Here is a 20,825-nt window from a genome sequence, read left to right as displayed (position 1 = left end):
CAAACAAGGGTAAAAGGATTTTTTTTCCTCCTCAAGTGGCTATGTTATATCCTTCTGGCACTCCTCAGTACATTTGGACCTAGTTGAATCCCTTAATCTTTTAATCACTCCACTAGAAAAGGCAGACAGCTTTACACTAGAAACCACTGACTTGTCAGAAGCTCAACTAAGCTAGGAAAGAGCTGAGCTGTCATAGTAGCTGATTAACGACATCAAGCCTCAAATAAAAGGGTAAGCCTTTGATTATTTACAGTAATAGTATAAGCAAGAATCTAAACTGGAGAAAGTGCCTACTCGCCCTATTCCATTTCCTCCATGGAACTGTGCACTGGTTGAAGATAAGTGCAGACATGGGGATAGTTTCACTGTTGAAGGAGTCCCAAACAAAAGGCTCTAGCAATTTTATGCACCCTGGGGTTGAGGGGAGGGCAAGGAGGGAAGGCTAGGAGTGGAAAAGTACTGAGTAGTGACTCAGAGTAGGGAAAAGTGTCTTTAAGGCTTCCTTCTCCCTTCCGCCACAAGGAGGTCTTGACAGAGGGCCTGAGGAGGACTTGGCCCAAGGCCTCAGATGAAGAGAGCTAGAAATGAAAGTACCAGAGCTAGGAATACAAATATTCCAAGAACATGACCAGCTAGGGGTTCTGAATCCTTGACTGCAACTCCCTACAGAGACTGCAGTGCATTGGCTGTGCACCAAGTCTGGTGTGGCAAAGGCAGCTTTTTCCCCATGAGGTCTGCCAGGTAAATTATTTGTAATTGCCTATGGTCAGGCCTGAAAAAATCACACATAGGTTTTTAACCAGGAATCAGACTCCTCACTGGCTTCTCAGGAAAAATTGAAAGCCAAAATTTCTTTCCAACCGAACAATAAGTTCAACCCTAATTAAAAGCTTAAGAAAATTGCAGAAACAATACTATTACCTTACGTATAGAACAATCCAATCTTTGCTTACGGAAAAACATGACCTTAAATCCATTGTCACTGACCTATATAAATATTTGACATTTTCCATCTGCAGAAGCAGCTTAAAATATAAATGGAGAAAGATACCATGTGGGAAATCTTACTCAGAATGAATACCTCAATATATCCTCTCATATTTAATTTTTGAGTATAATCAAATAATTCTGAATGTTTTATAAGGAGTCATGAGAAGGGATTCATAATTAATATTAAAATTCCTTTTATATCCATTGTGCCGTTAATATAAATAATTTCAACCAGAATGATTCATTTCCCCTCAAAACAGGGTTTCAGAAGAATGCCCTTACTGTGAAGATCTTCCCAATTATTTTACTTTTTTATAATAAAAAACTTATTTAAATCATATATAATCTACAATGAGATATTAGGACTCAGAGTATTCTAATTTAGCTATAATACTCATTTTCTCTAATAGCTGGCATTCAAATGGAATCACTTCAAGGTGACAAGTAATAGAGATATAATATATTAAACAGCATAAAGGTAAACCCCAAGAAAGATAATATAATAAACTATAAGTTAGTGCTGCAATAAAGGGAGCGTAAGAGTAATAAGAGGAAATACACTAATTTTGTCATTTCTATAGTGGTGAATTGATAGATACTGCTAAAGATTAACTTAAGGGAATTACACAGAGTTATAAAGATAATCACTAAAGCAGAAATACAGGCCTTCCTAATCATGACAAGACAAACATACAGAAAAAATAAAAATAAAATATACAGTAAAGTGATTTTCTAAAAGCTGTAAAAATAAAGAGTATACCATAAAATAATATAACTAAAAACAAACATATCTGTCATATCAGATGCTTTTTAGAACTTACAGACAGACTTGATCACAAAGCAAATCTGTTGTTTTCAAGAGACACAGCTACAACAAAATGATTCAGAAAGGTTGAAAATAAAAGGGTGGGCAAATGTATACTAGGCAAAGGCAAACCAAACAAAGAGAATTACGATCAATTGCAGACAAGGTTGAATTTGAAGCAAAATGCATTAAATGAAACTAAGAATGGCACAATGGCACTTTAATGCTAGGGCAAAAACAGAGTAGAGTACGGAGTGATCAAGAAGGCACACTGAGAAATACCCTTTGACCCAGCAATCCCATTACTAGGTATATACCCAAATGAATATAAATCATTCTGTTATAAAGATACATGCACACATGTGTTTACTGCAGCACTATTCACAATAGCAAAAACTTGGAACCAACCCAAGTGCCCATCAGTGATAGGCTGGATTAAAAAAAAATGTGGTACATACACACCATGGAATACTATGCAGCCATAAAAAGGAATGAGATCATGTCCTTTGCAGGGACATGGAGGAAGCTGGAAGCCATCATACTCAGCAAACTAACACAGGAACAGAAAACCAAAGACGGCATGTTCTCACTCATAAGTGGGAGCTGAACAATGAGAACACATGGACACAGTGAGGGGAACAACACACACTGGGGCCCGTTGAGGAGGCGGGAGGAGGGAGAGCATCAGGACCAATAGCTAATGCATGTGGGGCTTAATACCTAGGTGATGGGTTGATAGGTACAGCAAACCACCATGGCACACGTTTACCTATGTAACAAACCTGCACGTTCTGCACATGTATCCCAGAACCTAAAATAAAATAAAAATTTTTTTAAGGTGCATTGAAGATATTTAGCATAGAAAGCTTGTTGGAAGGGGAGCCTATTAAAAATATATCAGTTTTGAATACCTATATACCAGCCTGGTGAGGTGGCTCATGCCTATAATTCCAGCACTTTGGGAGACCAAGGAAGGAGGATCACATAAGCCCAGGAGTTCAAGACCAGCCTGGGCAACATAGTGAGACCTCACCTCTACAAAAAAGTTTTTTAAAAGACATGGTGGTACATAGCTGTAGTCTCAGCTACTCAGGAGGATAAGGCAGGAGGATCACCTGAGCCCCAGAGGTTGAAGTTGCAGTAAGTCATGATTATGCCACTGCACTCCAGCCTAGGCAACAGAGCAAGGCCTTGTCTTAAAAAAAAAAAAAAAAAAGTTGTGAATCTCTTATCCAAAATACTTTAGACCAGAAGTGTTTCAGACTTTGGATTTTTTTGAATTTTGGAATATTTGCATGTACATAATGACTTAGGGATGGGACCCAAGTCCAAACATGAAATTCACTGGTTTCGTATATACCTTATATACACCATCTGAAGGTAATTTTATACATTTTTTTTTTTTGAGACAGAATCTTGCTCTGCCGCCCGGGCTAGAGTGCAGTGGCATGTTCTCAGCTCACTGCAATCTCCACCTCCCAGGTTCAAGCGATTCTCCTGCCTCAGTCTCCCGAGTTTCTGGGATTACAGGTGCCCGCCACCGCACCCAGCTAATTTTTGTATTTTCTGGTAGAGATGGGGTTTCACCATCTTGGCCAGGCTGGTCTCAAACTCCTGACCTCATGATCCACCCACTTGGGCCTCCCAAAGTGCTGGGATTACAGGCATGAGCCACCGCGCCCAGCCTATACAACATTTTTAAAATAATTTTGTTCATGAAACAAAGTTTTGACTGCAACCCATCACATGAGGTCAGATGTGCGGTTTTCCACTTATGGCCTCATGTTGGCCCTCAAAAAGTTTTGGATTTTGGAACATTTCAGATTCAGACTTTTAGATTAGGGATGGTTTACCTGTATTGGCAATATAATCCAGTGTCACATTAAAAGAATTATATGCCAAAAATTGAAATATGCTTTAATATTAGAAAATCTATTAATATAATTTACTATGTTAACCTATCTAAGGAGAAGCAACATCTTATGATCATGTTCATCTCTGTAACTTCTGAAAAAGCATTTGATAAAATTCAACATCCAATTTTGTTTTGTAAAAACTCTAATAAAACAGAAACAGATAGCTATTCTTTAGCATAATACATTTCTTTTTCAATTCAAGAGTTAGTATTGTTCTTAATGGAAAAACACTAAAGACATTCCCGTGCAAGATAAGGAAGTTTAGTATCATCACCATTATTTGAAAGTATTCTGGGCCATGAAGCAGCAGGATAGTAATGATGACACTGCAGATGTTTCACTAATTGATGCAGAAGAGGAGACAACTAATAGACCAAAAAAATCCAAAAATCAGATATTCAGTGGTATCGTTTTCCACTTATTCTTTCAAGTCAGTGCAATCATTGTCTATCTTCTCTGTGAGTTACTCAGCAGCAGCTTTATTGCCTGTATGATGACGATTATCTTGTTGTTGTCATGTGACTTTTGGGCAGCAAAGAATATCACAGGTAGACTAATGGTTGGCCTATGTTGGTGGAGTCACATTGATGAAGATGGAAAGAACCATTGGGTGTTTGAATCTAGAAAGTCTTCCTCTCAAGATAATAAAACTGTGTCAGAAGCTGAATCAAGAATCTTTTGATTGGGACTTACAGTCTGTGCAGTGCTTTGGGTGATATTTGCCTTTAGTGCCTTGTTCTCCTTCAGAGTAAACTGGTTAGCAGTGGTTATCATGGGTATGGTGTTAGCAGATGCCAACCTATATGGTTACATCAGGTGTAAGGTAAGCAGCAGAAATAATTTAACCAACATGGCTACCTCGTATCTTGTAAAGCAGTTTTTAAGACGAAACACTGGAGATGATCGGAGAAGCTTCCTGAATAGAGAAAGCTTATGTGCTTTGTTACATTGGGGAACAACTGAACAGATTCTTGACTCTGAACCTTTTGGAGCTTATTTGATGTCTCAATGAGGAGGATTGGCTTTGTTTTTCCACTTAAAAACTATTTATAAAAAGGAAAAGTAGTTTTCGTATTGTTTTTATTTCCTTTCCAGCAGTTGGGAATGGAAAGTATGTTGGCAGTAGAAACATTGTCAAGATTTGTTCTGTAGTGTATGTACATGTTCCATAGGTATGCGCATGGTCATGTAATATCAATATATCCCAAATTAATGAAAGAGTTTATTTATATATATAAAATGGAGACCTTTGCATTTTGATCCATAGAACATAGGAGGATGTTCTTAGTTTATCTCAAAGCTCTATGTGTTTATATATTATTTCTGTAGAGTATTTTCAGAAGTAAGTTTTGCTTTCATGGTAAGAGTGAGTGATTTGACTTATGTATAAATGAGAAATAATTGTTAGATTTTAATATGCACTTCATGGAGAAATTTCTTAGACAAATGCAAGCAAGTGAAAACCAAATTAGGGCTAGTGGTATTAACTAGTTTCTAAAATGTTATTTTTATTTGCAAGAAGTCATTTACTTACAGCCCAGGTAATATGAATGGAATCATCATAGTTTATGTTTAAGGGATACCCAGAGATTCCTGCTGTTCTATTTATTTTACAGAAAAGATGGCCAGATTTTTCTTTAGAACTTCCTGAAAGCTCTTCAGTGGACCTTGAGCTAATAAAATCTATCTTTTACCACTAAAACAATAAAAATAAAAATAAAAGTATTCTAGATATTTTCACTGATGTAGTGATACAAGAAAAAGAAATTAGGGTATGAAATGAGAAAAGAGGAGATTAAATTGTTATTTGCGGATTATTTGATTATCCAGAAAGCCCAAGAGAATCCACTAGGAAATTATTTGAAACAACAAAATAATCCACAGCAAAATCAACACAGATATTTGTACTCTTTATATGTCTAAGAGCAACAAGTTAAAAGTTATAATGGAAGAAAATTTTTCATCACAATAACCAAAATGATCAAATACTTATGAATGAAATGAACAATAAATATGCAAGATTTATATGACTTAAAATACTATTGATATATTTACATTAATAACAATGTTATATGTCATAAATATATATAGTTTTCCTTTTGCCAATTAAAAAATTGTTCAATACTATTGAGAAACACAAAAAGAGACTTGAACAAATAAAAAGCCATTCGTTTTTGGGAAGACTCAGATGTCAGTTATCCCTAATGTACAAATGTAATGCAATTCCCAAAAATTATAAAATTTCCAACAGGAGAACTAGACATTCTGCTAGTAAAGTTCAAATTTTAAAAGAAAGAATATCCAGGGACTATTCCTATCAGATATTAAACAGATATTCAAAACGATGTGATACTGGAGATTGAAAAGACAGATTGTAATGGAATACAATTTAAAGTTCATTTTAAAAAATATATGTGGGAACTTATTGTGTAATAAAGATAGCATTTAAAATGAGTTGGGAAAAAGGCTATTAATAAATGTTTGGATCAGCTGGATAGCCATATGGGAAAAATAAAGCTAGATCCATACTCACAGCATCTACCAGCATAGATTCCTGATGGAGCAAAGTATAAAAATAAACTATACAAGTACTAGAACAGATTGTATTAGTCTGAGTACAATCAGGAAACAAACCACACAGTGATTTAAACAAGGAAAGTTTGTGTAAAAAGTTTTAATACAGGCTGGGCGTGTTCGTTCATGCCTGTAATCCTAGCACTTTGGGAGGCCAAGGAGGGAGGATTGCTTGAGGCCAGGTGTTCACAACCAGCCTGAGCAACATAGTGAGACCTCATCTCTACAAAAAATTTAAAAATAAAAAATTAGCCAGACATGGTGGCCTGCAACTGTAATCCTAGCTACTCAGGTGGCTGAGGCGAGGGGATCCCTTGAGCCCAGTGCCATGAGCTATGATTGCATCACTACTGCATTCTAGCCTGGGTGACAAAGCAAGATCCTATCTCAAAAAAAAAAAAAAAAAAAACTGAAATATAGCTTAACATATTAAACTATGATAATAGATTACCTATAAGATATAAGGGAATTTATATGGTACCCTAGGGCTAAGGGAGAGATCCTAAGGAAAGTCAAACTTGAAAGGGGGACTCCCTTCCCGAGGCTGGGGTTCACACCAAATTGCAGAATGTGTATTTGTAACCCACTGGATGGCAGAGTTCACTAGTTTGTCAAGGCTAAAGTTGGTCTGCAGTTCCTGGGAAAGCAGGAAGCTACTCTCCAGTGATAGGTGAGCTACAGTGGTGGCTGGGCTTACAGGCATGCAGAGAGAGTGTAGGCAGGATGCCCAGAATACGTATTCTCCATGTTGGAAGAGCAGTAGCATTGAGATGGCCACAGGAGACAAACTTCTCACGGGGAGGAACAAGTAAGCAAAGGGAATTAGGCATTAGTACAGGCAGGAGGCCTGAATCATATGGTGTCCATGTTGAAAGGGCTGCAGAAAGGCGATTACTAGGCCAGGCAGGGCTATGAAGTCACTGAAAGACTATGAATTCTGAATGCATGGATGGGTCACCATTAGGTGTCCCTATACCCCACAGCTGACCCACAGTATGCTGCATGTAACAATAGGAGAGCCTCTTTATGTCCCTCCAGTGCCCTTTACTAAGAAAACTTAACATTGTGCTCACTGTAAAAGAGAAATGCTTAAAGGAATTTATCACAGAGCATGTACTGAAGGATGAATTTGGAGTTGAGAGGCAATAAATTAATAATTAATACACAGACCATGGGGAGAAAATAATAGGAATGGCTTTTCTAAGCATAATATAAAACCAAAAAATCTAAAAATAAAAGATTAATAATATATAAAAACAGAAAATGTATGCTTGGAAAAGAACACACATGCAAATTCTAAAGATAAATAGCTATGAGGAAAAATATTTGCTTCTCATATCATGTAGAGTTAATTTTCTACATACATAGAAAACTCCTACAACTCAGTAAGAAAAAAACATTCAATAACTCAGTAGAAAATGAGGATGGATATACACAGTCAGTTTTCAGAAAAGAAAATATAAATGACATTGAGACATGAAAATACATCAACCTCATTCATAGTAAGAGAAACCCAAATATGCAGAGATGTCACTTTCCACCTATATGATTGGCAAAAATTTTCTGTGACACATTTTCATGAGAATTTGAAGAAATAAGCATGCTTATATGCCATTTGTCAGTGTATAAATCGACATTATAGAGGGCAATTTGGTGACAGTATCACAATTTACATATCTTTTAAAGTAGCAAATTCACTTCTAGGACCTTATCCTACATATATATTTACACATGTACAAAAATAACTTAAGTACAAGATTATTCATTTTAGCACTGTTTGCAGTAACAAAAGATTGGAAACAAACTGAATGTCTGTAAATAGGGGATTGGTTACATAAAATCACGGTTCATCCATTAATGGAATACTCTATAATGATGTGAAATGATTGCTCAAATACAATAATCAACAAAAGCAAGATACAGAAAAGTATTGCCATCACTTCTATTTAGGGAAGAAAAATGATAGAATTACATATCCTTTTGAATTTCAAACCCTATGAATGTATGTATTCAAAACACATAAATATTAAAAATACATTTATGCTGATAAAATACCAATTTATATATAGGGAGTCTTTGTAAGATTTGATTTTTTATAAAGGGAATTCTGATTTTCTTTTTAAATATTTTTAATCCCCTCCCTAAACTGCATTCTGGTTTCTTGACCTGACCTCCAATGAAACATCAATCTAAGTTATCCTAACTGCCTAGGGCCATATTATCTATCTATAAGATAACCCAAAAAAGTTCATGTATGAAAGCCCAGAAATAGAATTCTTGAAGATTTTGTCAAGCCAAGGCATTTACATGATGTCCAACAAATATTAGCCATACTCAAGTGTTCTAGGTCAATAATATATGTCTACTGATTCCTGGAGTTTACCCAATTATTACCAATTTTTTATCCCTTATTTCTCTAACTTGACTTTCTGATAACCAACTAGAATGTGCCACAGCTTTACAGCCTCTGAAATCCTCTTCACCTTTACTTTAATGCTGGCTTATGCTGATCTAGCACTAGCCTGCTTATGCCTTTGTGACCAATCCCTCCAACAATGATATGAGTGTCAGCCTATTTCAAGACAACTCTATAGATAGATGATACACAGAGAAAAGACTTAAATTTTACATAAATGAGATAATACTATGCCTGCTGATTCCATTATCTAATTTTTTTTAATTAACAGTATATTGTAGGCCAGGTGTGGTGGCTCACGCCTATAATCCCAACACTTCGGGAGGCAAGTTGGGAGGATCGCTTGAGCGCATGAGTTCGAGACCAGCCTGGGCAACATAGCAAGACCTTGTCTCTACTAAAATTTTAAAAATTAGCCAGGTGTGGTGGTTCATGCCTGTAGTCCCAGCTACTCCAGAGGCTAAGGAGAGAGAATCGCTTGAGCCTGGGAGTTTGAGGCTGCAGTGAATCATGATCACGCCACTGTACTCCAGCCTGGGTGACAGAGCGAGACCCTGTCTCAAAAAAAATTAATTAGTTTAATTAAATAAAACATAAGTTAAACCAGTTTCAACCTTAGCTGCACATTAGATTTGCCTGAGGAAGTTTTAAAATATATCAGTGCGTGGAGCCCACCTGATAAAATTTAAATGTCTGAGGGTATGTCTCAATGCCTCAAACTCTCTCTCTCTCTTTTTTTTTTTTTTTATAGACAGAGTCTGGCTCTGTTACTCAGTCTAGAGTACAGTGGCACAATCTCAGCTTACTGTAACCTCCACCTCCTGGGCTCAAGCCATTCTCCCACCTCAAGTCCCAAGTAGCTGGAACTACAGGCACGGGTCACCATGCCTGGCTAATTTTTATATTTTTTTTAGAGACGGGGTTTCACTATGTTGCACAGGCTGGTCTTGAACTCTTGAGCTCAAGCAGTCTGTCCACCTCGGCCTCCCATAGTGCTGGGATTACAGGCGTGAGCCACTGCACCCAGCCCTTAAACATTATTTTACTCTCAATTATTACTGTTTTTAGGTATGCATATTAGAGATGACATACAGTGGAATTTTTCAATCTAGTCCAATAATTTGTTTTTTAGCTGGTATATTTTAGGAAGTAAGTTTGTATTTATTGTAATTACTGACCTTATTATTATTAAGATTATTCTGATTATCTTACTTGGTGTTTACTATTTGTCCTGCCTTTTCTTTGCTTGCTTCTCCCATTTACTATCTGATTTTGGGTTTGTTTTTTTTTTTTCCACTCTATTTTTTTTTAAAGTGTATAATCTATTTATTTTCTTTTAGGGGTTGCCCTAAATTAATTGGTATCTCTACCCTTCACTAAACAATACCTTAGAATGCTTTAACTCCGATCATCTCCCTCTCATCGTGCATATTTTTGCCCCTGTATTTTACCCCCAAATTAGACATTACTGCTATTGTTTTATACAGCTAATATTTATTTCATTTTACTCATATATTTACCAATTTATTTGCTTACCCTTCCTTCTTGCATATCAGACCATTTCTCTGTGATCAGTTACCCTCTCTCTTCCTTGAATTATATCCTTTAAATCAGCACCATTTACTAGATATGTAATGTGAGCCACACATATAATACAAATTTTTCTATTAGCCACCTTTAAAAATAGAAAAAAAAAAAAAAAAAAAAGCAGGCAATGGCCGGGCGCGGTGGCTCACGCCTGTAATCCCAACACTTTGGGAGGCCAAGGCGGGCAGATCACCTGTCAGGAATTTGAGACCAGCCTGCCCAACATGGCGAAACCCCGTCTCTACTAAAAATACAAAAAAAGCCAGGCATGGTGGCAGCCACCTATAATCCCAGCTACTCAGGAGGCTGAGGCAGGATAATCGCTTGAACTCGGGAGGCGGGGTTGCAGTGAGCCAAGATCGTGCCACTGCACTCCAGCCTGGGCAACAAGAGCAAAACTCTGTCTCAAAAAATAAAATAAAAAATAAACAGGCAAAACAAATTTTAATATTTTATTTGTCCTGACATATCCAAAATATCATTTCAGTATGTAATCAATATAAAAATTTATTGAATTTTTTATATTGTCTTTTTTTTTAATTTTGAGATGGAGTCCCACTGTGTGGCCCAGGCTGGAGTGCAGTGGCATGATCTCAGCTCACTGCATCCTCTGCCTCCCAGGTCTAAGTGATTCTTATGCCTCAGTCTCCCGAGTAGCTGGGATTACAGGTGTGCACCACCACACCCGGCTCATTTTTGTATTTTTTTTTTTTTTTTTAGTAGATGTGGGGTTTCACCATGTTGGCCAGGCTGGTCTCGAACTCCTGACCTCAAGTGATCCACCCACCTCAGCCTCCCAAAGTGCCAGGATTACAGGCTTGAGCCACCGCCCCCAACCAATATTAAACTTTTTTATGTTTGTTTGTTTTTTGAGACGGAGTCTCGCTCTGTTTCCCAGGCTGGAGTGCAGTAGCGCGATCTCGGCTCACTGCAAGCTCTGCCTCCCGGGTTTACGCCATTCTCCTGCCTCAGCCTCCCGAGTAGCTGGGACTACAGGCACCCGCCACCATGCCCGGCTAATTTTTTTATTATTATTATTTTTTGTAGAGACGGGGTTTCACCTTGTTAGCCAGGATGGTCTCGATCTCCTGACCTCATGATCCGCCCACCTCGGCCTCCCAAAGTGCTAGGATTACAGGCGTGAGCCACCGCGCCCGGCCAATATTATCTTTTTTACTACTCTTCAAAGTCTTATGTGTATTTTACATGGACAACAAACCTTCAGTTAGAGTAGCCACGTCTCAGATAATAACCACAGGCGGCCAGTGGCTGCCATATTTGACAGAGGCCCGGCTGGATCAGTTGTTAATCTGTGCCTCTCATTTTGCCAGCTGGGAAAGTGCTGCTTTTCTGGTGCTTTTTTGTTTTTTGGGGTTTTTTTTGAGACGGAGCCTCGCTCTGTCGCCCAGGCTGGAGTGCAGTGGCGCGATCTCTGCTCACTGCAACCTCCACCTCCCGGGTTCATGCCATTCTCCTGCCTCAGCCTCCCGAGTAGGTGGGACTACAGGCGCCCGCCACTACGCCTGGCTAATTTTTTTTTTTTTTATTTTTAGTAGAGACGGGGTTTCACCATGTTAGCCAGGATGGTCTCTATCTCCTGACCTCGTGATCCGCCTGCCTCGGCCTCCCAAAGTGATTGCAGGCGTGAGCCACCGCGCCCGGCCTTTCTGGCGCATTTTTAAGGTGTGTTTCTCTATTCTGGAGCTGACTCCTAGAGCCCTCAAGCTGGATTTGAAGGAGAAGCTGTTTGGACAGCATGTTGCCGCGGAAGTGATTCTCAAGGCACTGACTGGCTTCAGAAGCAACAGAAATTCCTAGAAACAACTAATTCTTTCCTTACGTGGCTGAGCTGGCATAGGCAAGAATTTTGTCAGCCAAATTGTGGCTGAACGTCTTCACTCAAAAGGCCTGAAGAGTAACTCTCCACCTATTTGTACTAACTCTGTACTTCCCTCATGAGCAAAAGATAAAAAACTGTACCAGGCAGGAGAACCCAGCATTATCTTGTTCACAGGCCATTTGGACTGGTCTGGGCAAACTGCACTAACTCTGGCCTCTGCTTCTCTTTTCTTTGCATTGCAGTAGCCCCAGGCTCCACTGAGTTAAGACACACTTGAACCCAAATTTCCCAACTCCCAGTTTACATGGTAGTCACATTCTCCAATGAATGAATGCACTCAACATTCCCACAGAGCATTTGGTGTTAGGTGGGGGTTGTTCAGCAGGTTGTTTGGGCATGGGGTCATTTAATGCTCTCCACCTATGATGCAGCCTCAGCCTTGCCTCTGCATGTTGCAATGTAGATTAGAGGATTTCTTTTCTTCTAAACACCTTTTATTCCCTTTGTTCCTCTCATCTTTCGAGTCCTTGGCATTGCTTTCTTCAAAGAAAGCCTCAAATAACTGAACATTGACACTGTTTCTCCTTTTCAGATATTCCTTCCACATTTAATTTGTATTACATTATCTAGGAGGGTTCATTCTCATTTAAATGAATGTCGTCCTTGTCAAGGTTAATATTCCCACTATTAGGTGGGGACTGAAATAAGAAACAGAAACTTAACTGAACAAGGAAGTGAAAGTGAGTGTTTGCCACACAAACTGTAAGATAGAGAAGACTGCCAAAATCAGGAATAATTTTCTTATTTTTCACATTTTTTCGTAAATCTCTAGAAATATAGTAAAATAAATAAGGATGTATCTGGGGGAGTTTCCTGGTCACAACCTTTTTACATTGTGAGGTTGAGAGCTTGTTGCCTGGGTGTCTTTTTGTTCCAAGAATGTATCAGAATAAATGCTTTTCATGAGATGTCACCTAGGTCAACTCCTTCATTCATTCCGTCAGTACAAGGCATTGGTCTCGGGCACTGTGCAAGTCTTAATCTAGTTCCTTATTCTTCAATATGTCTGGTAATATTAAGTTGAGATTTTGCTTCACAGTGAGATGAACACTATGGATTAGTTAACGGTGAATGATAAATATTTATGTATCTTGTGTCTCTTATACCTTTAAAAAAGTCACATTTAACATGTCATTTGAGTTAGGAAAAAACTTCCTTGCATTTTAGCACCTATCTCTCTGCCAATTTCAACTTTGTATAGATAAAGTTTTGGAAAAACTTACCCACTGAATGGAGGTGAGAGTGCAGTTTCCTAGAGTTCTTCCCCAGGGAGCTCTGATCTTAAGTCTTTTAGAGCATGAAGAGCAGCATAGTGCTTCTGCTCCCTCAGAGCATCCTTTGAGCCTCCCCATCCCATTTCATCTTTTATGGTTGGTCTAGGACCAGTTACAGAAGTGGATTCATGGTAATGTGAGTGCATATTCCAGCTATTTTCATATTTGACAAGATGCATAAATTCCACCCCCAGGGTTGTCAACACAATCAGTCTGTTTCTAGACCACTACAAAAAGGTTTTTACCAAAAAGCCATCTTCATCTTTCCCAGAAACATAGACAGGGACCTCATAACTGAGATAGCTCTTGACTTTTGGTGGGTAGGAGGAAGGAGGGAAGACATTTAGCTGAAGGACCTGGAACCTGTGCCGTCTGATAGTCTTCAATAATAAGCACAGTGGTCTGTGGTGCAATGGACTGATCAACAAAACCTTAATCAATTACTTTACCTTTTTCCTGCCGATGAAGTACAGACGTGAAAATATGCATGAAGGCAGAGATGAGGGCCCATGGTTCTGCTATAGATGAAGACATTGTCACAAGAGTGGCAGAGGAAATGACGCTTTTCCCCAAAGACAAGAAAATCTACTCAGTCAAGAGCTGTAAGACTGAACAATGACAGCTAGATTTCCACTGAGCTCTTAACCAGATGGGATAAGAGGGATTTGGGAGGCTCAGCACACGAGGGACCTTGCCTTTCAGAGGCATTTTGAAGACTTCTTTGGGGTTTGGCACATTTGCACCTGTGAACTTTCGGGATATAGAAGTTTCTAAGAATTGGTTTTTGAAAAGACACTAATCTGTCAAGTGCACTTGTCATTTTGCAACATGACATCAATCCAGCTGTTAATTGCAGTTAAAGATAAACTATAAAATCCCCTTCACACTTATTGTTGCTGACTTTGACAGAAGTGCCTGGAAACAGCTGTGCAAGGGAGGCCTGAGGATCGAGGATTGTTTCTGACCCACAACACCCACACCTCAGAAGCTACTGTTGTGACTGAAGGGGTTCAAGGGCCCTGCTACAGTCTGAAGAGCATTAGGTTTTCACCTGCTAAAAACATTCTTCTGCTGTTTCTTTTTCTTCACACAGAGAGGGTTCACTGACTTGTATTTTCAGTTTAAATTGGTGGCACTTGACAGGTACAGGTGGTGTCTGGTGGGAGGACATGGCCCTGCACGCTGAGCACTCTTGGCCTGGGGTGAACTGTCTGCATGTGGGGTGGGAGCTCCATCTGAGGTCTCTGCAGAGCAGGGCAGACAGGTCCATTGCTGTGGCTGCTGATTACATCTGTGATCATGGAATTCCTTCACCCATCTCTCACTTGATATCACTTACCCACTTGCCTTCCTTGTACCACATCTTCTCCTGACCTTCACTTGCTACTAAATTCCCCCCAACCATATCATCATAGAAGCTAATCAGAATAAGACTGTAGCTTCAAATTTGAGTCCTTGGTTCCTAAGGTTAAACGTTTGCTGTTACCTTTAAAATATGGGTCAATCTCTTGCTTTACTCCAGAGAACCATTTGAAATTCACAGGACATGCACATTCTCCATAGTTGACATGTGCACAGACTAAGCAGTCAGTTTGCAGATTCGGCATTGCCAAAGAAGTGGGAGTATTAAACACTAGAAATGCTAAGAGTTTTCAAGGATTTGTATATTTATTATAATGTTTTTACTTCTGAACCTTCGATAATAGAAATATAGAACATTGCTTATTTTAAAACATGAGAAGGGCACAAAATGGAATAATTGCTTATTTTTTCCCAGACACTCTTAAAACAAATGGTATGAATTTTTTTAACTTTTATTTTAAGTTCAAGGGTGCATGTGCAGGTACATAAGTAAACTTGTGTCATGGGGGTTTGTTGTACAGATTATTTCATCATCCAGGTATTAAGCCTACTACCCATTAGTTATTTTTTCTGATCCTCTCCCTCCTCCCACACTCCACCCTCTGACAGGCCCCAGTGTGTGTTGTCCCTTTTTATGTGTCCATGTGTTCTCATCATTTAGCTCGCACTTATAAGTCAGAACATGCAGTATTTGGTTTTCTGTTCCTGCGTTAGCTTGGAATTTTTATTGTTAAATCCATAGTAATATGTCATCACAATTGTAGACACAAACAAGCTTAGTCCGAAGTTGTGGCTGGTTCTGGGTGTCATCTAATGACACCCTATATGACATCACCAGGCTGGACTGCCCTGATCACTGAGAAGTAAGGCTTAGATTCCAGCTATTTTGAATCATTCTGTGTCTGTCCTATAGTTGTAGTACAACTGCAGACACATAATTAGAACAATGGTGTAGCATTTTTGTATATAAAATGTAATAGAATGAATTTGTGACATCAAAATGCCTTGTAGGGTATCACATTTAGTCTTTTAAAATACCAAGGTGAGGCTTAAAATTTTTAGTACATATTCTCAAATTGGAGTTAAGTTACATTTCTTTTATAGCCTTTTGGGTATCTGGTCAAGAGAAAACAAGATTTTTCTCTGTTTATAATGATGCAATAAACTCAACCCATGTTGGCCACCAAATAAATAAAATAGGAATAAAAATTGATACTGAATGTTGTGTCATTCGATCAGTAATTATTTTATTTATTCACACAAACCTGAGCTAATTGAAAGAAGAGCCCAGCTTGTCCATGCCATTAAGAGGAATATTTCCAATTATTAAGAGAAACATTTCCAATTAAAGCTATGCTTAATGCCAATAATTATTTCTCAAAATTTGTATATACATGTTGTTTTAATAAATTGTATATGAATGATAATTCTAATAATAACTCAATCTAGAGTGCCCCTTAGAGCCTATGCTCATAGGAAACTTAGAACTCTTGCAAAATATAGCTGTTTTAGATGCAGAGAAGTATGATGGGATGATCAATAAAAGGTTGCCAAGCATAAAAATTCTTTTACATTATGATAAAACTCTCAGGGAAAGTGAAATGGAAATATGAGTTCAAGGAGAAAAAGGAACAATCTAAATTTCTATCTCTTGGGAAAAAAAGAGCTTGTTCATGTACTTTTAACACTGAATAATGGTGAGTATCAAATCACCATGGCATTTAGATTCAATTGGACTGTTTTGAAGAGTTATATTATAGTTTTATTTTTAAATGTTGATATTTAAAATATGCAGGAAGTTACATCGTTAGCAACCACTTATAAAGTTGGAATTTTAAAATATAGATGTTCACTTAAAAATGCATAAGGGGGTACATTGTTTCTCAGATTCTTTTAGTGGGTACATGAGAAGAAATGCTTAAAGCCTACTAGGCTACACCTGTGGTGTGATTTCTTCTAATTTCTTTCTCGGATAGTTTTCTTATTTTCCTTTCTAGATTACAAGTTTTCTTTGTGTAAGAATTATATGCAATTCCTTGTGTTTTCACCCCAAAGACTTGGGGAGAGAAGAATATATCAACTGTGGAGCTAAGCCCAGGAAGGTGTTGACTTAAGCAGTCTTTGTATTCTGGCAGGTTTACAGCTCATGCTCATGGATTTTATGTGCATTACAGATATCACTCAGTTCTGCTCTATGGTCAGGAAGGTGTCCCCATCCCAAAATATAATTCTTCCCCACCCCCCACCTGCTATTGATGCATGGAATCCCTTCAAATGATGTCACAAATCTTCAGTCCACATTTATCAAAATGCATATATCCTTAGGAGAAGTAACATTGACCTAGTATCAGATTAAATTAGTTGACTCCTAAGAGCAAGTTTTTATAAAGGTAGATGAGGAGAACCAAAAGGTCGCTTGTCTCGGTTTAACATGTTGGCTCCTTAAGCTGACTGCAGACTAACCCAAATATCTCTTCTTTACTGAAGTTATCCTAAAGAGCGTATTAGATAGGACGTATGAATTCTGAAGTGATCAACCACATCAAAATTCTCACTTCTGGGAAAACCTCATTTTTAAGTAGAGAAGCTTTTGGTGCCTAGACTGACTAAGAAATGAAGATGATGTCTAAGGTGAACACTGTCTGGCCTCCAGTTTGCAGGTCACCCCAAAGTAAAACTAAGCAGTCACACAACTGGATTTCCCTTTGTGTGAGTGAATGAGTTAAAACACTTCCTTTCATGTTTCTGGTAACTCTAAGTAATCAAAACCTTTATGGCTGCAAATTTTCCTTCTGCTAGTGTAGGGAAGATTTTGGTGCAGTGGCTAGAACACAATAGGAATTCAGTAGATGTTGGTCAAATAAATTTTCAGGAAGGGAAGGAACTTCTGAGGAATTATTTATAATAAATTTAGACTGCCAATTAATCTGAAACCTGGTCCCTAAAGACTTGTGTCTTTGATTCGTTTTTCTCTGCAGCAAGTGAAAGGGAACTTTGCTAGGTTGCAGACCTGCATCTCAGAACTCCGCATGTTACAGAGAGAAGGGTGTTTCAGATCACAAGGTGCTTCTCTGCGGCTGGCAGTAGAGGATGGGCTCCAGCAATTCAAACAATACAGCAGACATGTGACCACAAGGGCAGCTCTGACCTATACCTCCCTGGAGGTAAGTGATGCTGGCCTTTAGGACTCCAAGCTGTGTTCCGATTTCAGTCCATATAGGTCATTGTTTATCATCTTTACATTGTTCTATCTTTCATTCACTCTAGATGTAATATTCAAAGCAAGATTTTCAGCTCCCTACAGGCAGAGGACATGTTTCTCTTCTTCCTATAACCTGTACAGTTCTTAATGTAGAGATAGTTATAGAGAAGAGCTCTAAAAATACAGACTGAAGTGAATTATGAGGAAAAACTGAAATAAAAATAAAATCTGAATATGCCATCTGCCTCTGGATTTTTGGAAGTTGTAAAGAAAATGTTAAACTGCCTACATTGGTAGCTGTATTTATATTTACCTTGGTACTCTTAGGAATTTACAGTTGTTTTTAATCAAATCTTGGCATCAAATTGAGGAACTTTTCTCGGGATTAGCAAGTGTGCAAATACAAGAGTGCCAGACTGAGCCAATCTTAAAAATATAAATAAGGGCATGGCTGGATACTCCATTGGGTACATGAGTAAGTGTGAGTTAAGACAGTTTCGGTCTCTTGTAACCTCAGGGATCAAACAGACAGGACAAAAAATAATCGTGTGGGATTGCTGGTTTCCAATTCTTCATGTAAGGAGCTTGGAAGTTGCCACTCCATCCTAACAACTAGTAAAAAGCTTAACAAACTAAAAAATCAACAATATTTTTTAGATCCCTGAGAAGTGAGGTCACAGGGCAAACTGTTGCATCCAAAATGGGAGAGACAACCAGGCAAATACAGAGAATCACAACATACTGGAACAGAAACCTCCACAGGAACCAGTGCTAGAGTAGGAAACTGTCATTGACATTGCTACAGGCTAGGTGTAGACATGTCTAAAATTCTAGGAGAGGATGAGCATTGTGGCTCACACCTGTAATCCCAGCACTTTGAGAGGCCAAGGCAGGAAGATCACCTTGAGGCCAGGAGTTCAAGAGCAGCCTGGACAGCATAGCAAGACTCCATCTCCACAGAAAATAAAGATTAGCCAGGCTTGGTGGTGTGCACCTATAGTCCTAGCTACTTGAGAGGCTGGGGCAGGAAGATGGCTTGAGCCCAAGAGTTCAAAGTTGCACTGAGCTATGATCATACCACTCCACACTTTTGTGAGTTTTACCTCCAGGAGCTCAACCAAGTCCTCTTGTAAACATCGGGGGAAAATTCCCTCATGCCTCTGACAGGGAGAAGGAAAAATGAACCATTTTGAAATATACCAGAGCACTCTGTTATTAACAGGTATAATGAAACTACCCTAACAGGTAGTTACTCAGGAGAAACTAGTTAAACAGAACCTAACCCTTAACCTCCTGGGATTTTATCAGAGTCTAAATGACCTGGAAGAAGGGAAATACCAAACTCCAGCCAGCTGTATCCTTCAATGTAGCAGAAAGGAATACTCAACTTCAGCCCACTCTAGCCATCCTGTCCCACCTAAGTAGGGAGAGAAAAAACTGAGGAACACTTGTAAAGTTCACAGTCCAGAGGCATAAGTTCACTAAAAGACTGAGACCTAATCATACTTCCCCTCCCTCTATCCCTTACCACACATTACTAAAGGCCTGCTTATAGCAGTTCCTTTAGCCTGGAACATCATGTACAACTATGAAAAGCGTACTAAAAGACAAAAAAACACAGTTTGAAGAGACAGCAAGCATCAGAATTAGACATGGCAGAGACACTGGAATTCTCAGACCACAGAATTTAAAGCAACTATGATTAATATGCTAAGGGCTCTAATGGATAAAGCAGACGGAATGAAAGAACATATGGGCAATGTAAGCAGAAAGATGGAAATCCTAAGAAAAAATAAAAAAAGGTGCTAGAGATCAAAAACATTGTAATAGATGTGAAGAATGTCTGTGATGGGCTTATTTGTAGACCTATGGCTGAAGAAAGAATCTTTGAGTTTGAGGATGTATCAATAGAAATGTTCAAATCTGAAAAAGCAAAGAGAAAAAAAAACTGGAAAAAAAACCCAGAGCAGAATATTCAAGAACTGTGGGACAACTATAAAAGGTACGACTTACATGTAACGGGAATACCAGAAGGAAAAGAAAGAAAGAAACAGAAGAAACATTTGAATAATAATGACTGAGAATTTCTTAAAGTCAGACACCAACCCACAGATCCAGGAAGCTCAGAGAACACCATTAAACCACATGCTCCTGAACAACCAGTGGGTCAATGGAGAAATTAAAAATGAAGTTTAAAATCTTGAGTCAAATGAAAATGGATATACAATATACCAAAACTTATGAGATAGAGCAAAAGAGGGAAGTTTATAGCAATAAACGCCTACATCAAAAAAGAAGAAAGATATCAAATAAACAACCTAGCATTGCACCTCAAGGAACTAGAAGAACAAGAATAGACTAAACCCAAAATTACTAGAAGGAAAAAAAATAGTAATGATCAGAATAAAAATAAAAGAAATAGAGACTTAAAATAGTACAACACTTTGGGAAGCTACGGCAGGAGGATTGCTTGAGGCCAGGAGTTTGAGACCAGCCTTGGTAACATAGTGAGATCCCATCTCTACAAAAAATTTTTTAAATTACCCAGGTGTGGTGCACATACCTGTAGTCCTAGCTACTTTGGGAGGCCGAGGTGGAAAGATTGCTTGAGCCCAGGAGTTTGAGGCTGCAGTGAGCTATGATCACACCACTGCATTGCAGCCTGGGTGACAGAGCAAGACCTTGTCTCTTAAAAACAAACAAAAACATAAAAGTTCAATGAAAAAAGAACTGGTGGCCGGGCGCAGTGGCTCACACCTGTAATCCCAGCACTTTGGGAGGCCCAGGCGGGTAGATCAC

At 38.6% G+C, this 20,825-nt stretch overlaps 1 protein-coding gene and 2 pseudogenes across 13 annotated transcripts in view; all 3 read left to right on the top strand.

Annotated features, from left to right (window-relative positions):
• The window catches only part of M1AP (meiosis 1 associated protein), a 90,448-nt gene that overhangs the window by 15,379 nt on the left and 54,244 nt on the right, over nucleotides 1-20,825 (top strand). For all 13 annotated transcript variants that reach the window (XM_047443432.1, XM_047443431.1, XM_047443430.1 and 10 more), the window contains exon 3: nucleotides 17,803-17,988. In XM_047443432.1, coding sequence (XP_047299388.1) covers nucleotides 17,803-17,988 — 186 coding nt within the window. The remainder of the gene's footprint in view (nucleotides 1-17,802; nucleotides 17,989-20,825) is intronic.
• Nucleotides 4,007-4,824, top strand: TVP23BP2 (TVP23B pseudogene 2; annotated as a pseudogene).
• On the top strand, nucleotides 13,567-14,195 carry TOR1BP1 (TOR1B pseudogene 1; annotated as a pseudogene).

This window comes from Homo sapiens, chromosome 2 (assembly GCF_000001405.40).
Source record: "Homo sapiens chromosome 2, GRCh38.p14 Primary Assembly".
NCBI lineage: Eukaryota > Metazoa > Chordata > Mammalia > Primates > Hominidae > Homo > Homo sapiens.
The sequence above is the reverse complement of the archived record's forward strand: the minus strand, read 5'-3'. Positions and strand labels throughout refer to the sequence as shown.